This window comes from Homo sapiens, chromosome 6, assembly GCF_000001405.40.
Source record: "Homo sapiens chromosome 6, GRCh38.p14 Primary Assembly".
NCBI classification, from domain to species: Eukaryota; Metazoa; Chordata; class Mammalia; order Primates; family Hominidae; genus Homo; species Homo sapiens.
The window spans coordinates 14,235,294-14,241,935 of record NC_000006.12 but is presented as its reverse complement, the minus strand read 5'-3'; the positions used below and the strand labels follow the sequence as shown (position 1 = coordinate 14,241,935).

The following is a 6,642-nucleotide window of genomic DNA, read 5'->3' as shown; positions in this document are numbered from 1 at the left end:
ACTTTTAGCCTCTACTTAAGCAGCAGGGCAGGGCTGCAGGACGACTGGTCAACCCTTCAGAAGAAGTGAAGCAGTGCTGGCTGGAGAGGAGGTGCTCTGTCTTGCAAAGGGTGTCCAGCCTCTGCTTGAGCCCACGTGTGCCCCTCACATCTGCTGGATGCTGCCATGGGACAGGCAGGAATGGATGAAGAGAATTAAAATTGATAAAGATTATCTTTACCTTCAGTCATTCCTAGTCATCTCCAAGATCTAATCTATTGAATGGCTATTTCCATTGTTACCTTCTTACCATTGGCTATTTCGCTGCATGAGGAAGAATTTGGACTTTATGGAAATTTTTTGTCAAGTCATGATCCCCAAAGCTGAGAGTCCAGGACCAGAACTGTGCTTATGCTATACCTAACCCTTCTCAAAAGGAGGCCAGGACCCTGAATGTCTTTAAGATTGAACTGAAACAAAACTGCAAAGAGAATTTGTGTGTGTCTGTTTGTGGTTTGGACGGTCAGAGGCTGCATTTCCTTCCACCTGTGCTTATAAAGGGCATCCTGTTTCTTTCTTAAGGAGTATTTCATTTGTTGGTGAGAGGCGTTTGTTGATATTAAGGGTAGCCTATAAAATTAAGTGAATGGCTGGTTCCTCAGTTTCTAGCACATTGGTTCTTTATATACAGTGCAGTTATTCAGGGAGTTTATTTGGTTATTTGTTTTCTTCTTTATCTCAAGGGGCGTTTGAATGGGGTTGGCTCTCAGTTATTCAGGTTATCGAGTTTGCTCATTGGCAGCTGAGTTGAGACTGGAGTGGAAAGGAGATGGAAGCAGCCAGGTACAGTCGGTGCTGTTACAAAGCAGAGGACTTATCCAGCCCAGTGGTCAGGACATGAAGAGGACAGATAAAAGACCAGGAGGTGGTGTCACCACCTGTTGATTGATTTCATATGAAACCCCAAGAACAGGAAAAGGATAACCTCATGGTTGCACAGTCTAGAGTAGCCTTCACATGACTATAATGGAATATGCAATCCACATATGTAATTATGCAATCCACATATGTAATTATGAGCTTTCTGGTACCCCTATTTAAAAGGTAAAAGAAAGAAATAAAATTATATCAATAATATATTTTATTTAACACAATATATCCAAAATATCATCATTTAATGTTATATTTTACATTCTTTTTTTCATATTAAGTCTTCCAAATCTGGGGTTTATTTTTTGCTTATAGCATACCTCCATGCAGACTAGCCACATTCCAAGTGCCCAAAAACCACACGTGGCTGGTAGCCCCCACAATGGACAGCACGGACCAAGCAGATAAGGAGAATGTAATGAGAGATAAGTGGGAAAGGATCGTTTGTTTGGAGAGGATGTTGATAAGCTTTATCCATGTTATGTTTGGCATTTTGGTGGGATATCCGAGATGAGATGACCTGAAGGACATTAGAGATATAGGGCTGATGGTATAGGAGGGAGAAATGAAGAAGACTGATTGGCCAAGGCAAGTTTGAGTTAACAGAAAGCCTTGGTTACTATATTCTGAAAAACTTGTGGTGTGAACTTCTGTATTGACAGAGGCTCTAATATGAAGAAAGGGATGGTCTCCATAGCAAGCAGGCATCCCCTGAAGCTTTCGAAACTTCAAGTATTTGGGAATGCTATTGCCTATACCTTCTTTGTCAACCTCCAAGTCATTCCTCAGTATACATTAAGGACTCGGCTACGAGTTCTCTGTGTATGAACCATCCGACACTAGCTTTTAAGTTCCTGAGCTCTTATGGCCATTAACAGTCCTCTACATTCTTCTGTACCCATCATTTCCATGTATTCTTGGACATCATGGACATCATGGTACTTTTCTGCCTTGCAAACATTGATTCCTTTATTTGCCTGTGATATGTGTGCGCACAGACACACACACACACACACACACACACACACACACACAGAAACACAACAGTTTCCCAATACTTTTTTCCAAGGTAGAAATGCTTTTGTCTTCTATTATAAAAGTAGGACATACTGTTAAAATATCAAATAGTACAGAAGTATATATACTAGCAAATAAATGTACTCTTATTCTCAGCCATTTTTTTCTGTTTTTCTTATAAAATAAAGATATATCATACCAGACCATACCATTTTTGGCATCTGTTTTTTCTCTTAAATGTATATTTTAGAGATATGCCTCCACTTCTTCCTTTTTAATGAATATATAGCACTCTCTTTTATGGATGTTAAGCAATATATTTGTCTACTCTCTTAACCACAGAGATTTATGATCCTTCAGAGTTCTTTTGTGTCAGACCTTTTACATATTAACTCTGCACAATTGTCAGATTTTTTTCTTACAAATGTATTTCTAAAGTAAAATTGTATCATTAAGTACTAACATTTGAAAGCTCTCAATGAACGTTGTTAAAATGCTACATGAGGTTTATGTTCCTTTCAACTACTTCTTGAGAATTCCATTTCCTAATTCCACACTAATACTAGCCATTTTTATTCATTTTAATCTTGTCAGTCTGATAGGTAAAAAAAAAATCTCATTACATTTTACATTTCCACTTCTTTGATTACTAACGAAATAGAGCAACTTTTAATTATGGACTGAATATTTGCATTTCTTCTGTGAATTGCCTATTCATATTCTTTGCCCATTTCTATATTGGTGTATTTGTCTTTACCTTACTAACTCGATACTAATATTTTGTCCATAATATATGCTGCAGATATTCTTCCTAGTTGTTTGCTTTTGACTTTGTTTGTGGTATCTTTGCTTAATATTTCAATTTCAGGTAAAAAAAAAATCAGGTTAAAATAATTATATGAAGAAGCTGCAGTTGGAAATTAGAGCCGGGTATGGCAACAGGAAGAACTAGTTCAATACTTTCCCTCAGTAACAAAATTGGCCTAAACGCAACATATAGGAGCAATGAAAATCTTTTAATCTACGTATCTCATGTAAGTGTCCCTTTGCTGAAAACAAAAGATAAGTTTGTATTTTATTTTAAGAAACAATTGAGTCTCTAACCTGGAATAAGATCGAAAAAAATAAAGATAGCTATCTCTCTTTTCTCTTGCTGACTTAATTCTGAAATTTCTTGAAAATGCTAGCTGGGATATAGAAAAGAAAATGCTCTTGGAAAAGTAACTTTGCTAATTTAAAAGTCATGATAATAATCATTTTGGAAATACTTTTCAGTTGAGACAAGTTTCTCCAACATTATCACTTTTGTTGCAGGTGGGGATTCCCGGCTAGGTTAAGCACAGCATTTATTCCAAAACATTTTTAGGCCTTCCTTTATGCTAAGCGCTTCTGGAAAAAGAATAATTTATTGCCAATTGGCAGTAGGCCAAGAGCATGAAGAAGTTCGGTATTACTCTAAATGTGCCCCCAGTTTATAGTCATGGAGGGGTGAGGCCTGTATGTAATAAATATAGAAAAATGAATTAGCACAGTCCTGCTTTGAGGGCTTACAGTTTAACAGGGGGTGAGGTTATGTAAATACATCGTACAGTGGTGGGTGCAATGTCGTGGGGAATTGGTTCTACCAGGAAGGATCCAAGCAGTTTCAGGAGCAGCAGCTCTCAAGCACAGTCTAAAGACAAAGTATGCAATCAAACTATCCAGAATCCAGGAAAGCAGATTTCAAATAGTACAGAGGAAAGATAGACGTGATTCCAAAGGCCAAGAATTCTAAAAGCACTTACCATGTTCAAGACATTCTGCTAAGGTGGTAGTTTGAGCCACCAAAAAAAAAAAAAAAAAAAAAAAGGATGAGAATTCTCCACACACAGATGAAGAGGGGCCATGGGAACCAGTATGTTGGTGACCATAGCTCCAATGTGAGTCAACCTTTTGATGTGACTTCTTTTAAAAATAAGATGCATTTTCAAGCTATAATAATAATAATAATAATAATAATAATAGCTTTCATGTGCCCTTTTTACTTTCCAGGCTCTGTTTCAAGTATCTTACATATAACAGCTCCATTTAATCTTCATACAAACCCTAGATCTCCATCTTACAGATAAGAAAACTGGGGCACAAAGCATTTAAGCCACTTACAAATTCATCTCATAGGTGGTGGGTCAAATTTTGAACCTGTGCTTGGATGTGAACCCGGCCATTTAGGCTTCATTGTGTGATTTCATGCCAGCTGTTCTACAAGCAGCTACACTGATTGAGCCTTTACTATCTTCCAAGTGTGTGCTAAGCATTTACACGTATGATGTCAATTGCCATAATCTTGTGAGGCTGTGAGGTTGATACTATAATTAGCCTCTTTCGTAGATGAGGAAACCAAGCATTCAAGAGTTTAGTTGCTTGCTCAAGGTTAAGAGGTAGTAAGTAGCAGAGCCAGGATTTGAACTCAGGGAGAATGATCCCAGAAAGAGCTCACAGGCACTATCATGGAAGCATACAATCCAGAAGGAAGGACATGATGGTTTCATGGCATTCAGCATCACATTTACCATGTGTGCCTTCATAGTTCTCTTTGGAACCCCCACACACAAGAGAATATTCAAAAGAGGGTCTGCAAATATTTGAGGAAGTTTGCAGGAACTGACAGGTTCAGCTAAAAGGAAACTGGAAACAAAGATGTATGAATGTTCTGATTCTATGAAAACAGGGAGAGGAGACTTATTTCCTATGGTTTCCAAGGTGAGAATAAAGAAAGATTTTCCAAAAGTAAACTACTAAATAGAATGGAGCGAGCCCCTGATGCCAAAGCAAAGGCAGGGAGAAAATGTCAGAAAGTTTAAAGAGGGGAATTGTGTGTTGAATGCAGATTTGGTTGAAGTTGCCCCTAAAGTCAACTCTCCTCTATTAGTTTACACAATCTTAATCATCTTCAAACATGCCCAGTGCCTTTTCAAAAAAAAAAAAAAATGACAGAATCAAGACATGGGAAATTCATTAGAAGCTGTTTATCCAGCATTTTATTAACTAGTGTTTGCATGTTTTCTCAATTCTTGAGTGCTTAGGGTTCACACTGATGCTCCTAAAGAAATAAAAGTGCCTTCAGTGTTTTAAAAGTTAGATTGGATTATGTCACTTGTAATTTACTGTTGAGTATATTTTCTAGCATTCTAAGCCTTTTGAAAAATTGTGCTCTGTGAATAGCTAATTGCTCACCTTTAACCAGAATATGTGATTAACTAGGATATCCCAGGCCCCAGCCATGACAAATAGCAAATGTCCCAGAAGAGTCCCCAAATGAGAGGATAGAGCTGAGTAGTATAGGAGGCAGTTTCCCAGTTGGAACCAGAGGCAGCAAACCCCTGCTTGTTTCCTGCTCTGACCAAGCCCAGGTCCCAGAGAACGTTGATTTAAATGTCAGTGGTGCGGTTTATTTAGCTATTTCAGGAACTGGAGCATTACCACGGCCATTGGCAACCAGAAAGCAGCTAGAGCTCAGGAGGGGTGGTGAGCTCCCCAAAGCACAAGGTCTTTTCTTCTTCAGAACTGTCTGGTGGACTGGCCAAGAATGCTGACAGAGGTGAGATGCCAGCTTCAGAGGTAAGCCCCACCACCCCAGCAAGACGCCCCAAATACAAATCTTCCAAGGGAAGGGAGTTTACTCAGTTCATTAATGCTCCTGGCTCCCACTGGCAGCAATCACAGGCAGCGTGCCTACAGCCACCACTGCATATTTCAGATCCCTACTTCATTACCTGTCCCTCCTGGACAGCTGCTCTAATCACTGATGAACAACCTGGAGGATTCGCCTTGTCAGGGCTGGTCAGCCTTGAAGCGCTGTGTCCTCACCCAACTCCTGAGACTGGCCTGGTAATCCCATTTCCTGTGTCTAGAGACACAGTGAGTGGCCAGGGTGAGCAGGGCCAACTACCTGGACTGGGACCAGAGCTGGGCTCTGCCACCTAGCCTTCCCTCCACTTGTGTCCTTTTGCTGACTTGCTGCTGGATCTGTTCTCTCTGCCTGGGGGGTCTTCTGACCCCAGGATGTCTTCCCCTTGCCTGTGCCCTGTGAACTGCTCCCAAGTTCAGCGAGGGCTTTGCACATGCAGCTGAGCTTCAGGGAAAGTGTGCTGGACCCAGTGACCCGAGGCATGTTCTGGTCCCCGGCTCTCTGTGTGGTCTTGCAGCCTTGAGGCTTGTTTCCTTAGCTGTAGCCCAGGGGCAATAACCACTCCCGGCTGCAATGCAGAGAAAAGGAGTGTGGAAGAAAGAAAAGTATGAATGCCTTTGTGAACTGGGAAACACACTACAACACAATAAATAGGAATACGCTATTTTAAAGGGGAAGGACATTTTGACACAGGCTATGACTTGGATGAATTGGAAGGACATTATGCTCAGCGAAATAAGTCAGTCCCAGAAAGACAAATACAGTGATCCCCCTTATCCTCCTGGTTAGATTCCAAGACCCCCAGTGGGTACCTGAAACCGTAGACAGTACTGAACTCCATATGTATTAGTCTGTTCTCACGCTGCTAATAAAGACATACCTGAGACTGGGTAATTTATAAAGGAAAGAGGTTTAATTGACTCATGGTTCAGCATGGCTGGAGAGGCCTCAGGAAACTTACAATCATGGCAGAAGGGGAAGCAAACATGTCGCCTTCACATGATGGCAGGAGGAAAAAGTGTCAAGCAAAGAAGGGAAAAGCCCCTTAT

At 40.4% G+C, this 6,642-nt stretch overlaps 3 annotated features.

The window, feature by feature from the left end:
• Positions 380-449: an enhancer, noted in NCBI's record as "active region_24050". NCBI's record gives its function as "activates an Ori minimal core promoter by ATAC-STARR-seq in GM12878 lymphoblastoid cells {active_cell/tissue: GM12878}" and the evidence as "EXISTENCE:reporter gene assay evidence [ECO:0000049][PMID:35858748]".
• Positions 5,466-5,966: an enhancer, noted in NCBI's record as "H3K4me1 hESC enhancer chr6:14236201-14236701 (GRCh37/hg19 assembly coordinates)". NCBI's record gives its function as "activates a minimal SCP1, AML or CMV promoter by ChIP-STARR-seq in primed H9 embryonic stem cells {active_cell/tissue: H9 hESC(primed)}" and the evidence as "EXISTENCE:reporter gene assay evidence [ECO:0000049][PMID:30033119]".
• Positions 5,967-6,467: an enhancer, noted in NCBI's record as "H3K4me1 hESC enhancer chr6:14235700-14236200 (GRCh37/hg19 assembly coordinates)". NCBI's record gives its function as "activates a minimal SCP1, AML or CMV promoter by ChIP-STARR-seq in naive H9 embryonic stem cells {active_cell/tissue: H9 hESC(naive)}" and the evidence as "EXISTENCE:reporter gene assay evidence [ECO:0000049][PMID:30033119]".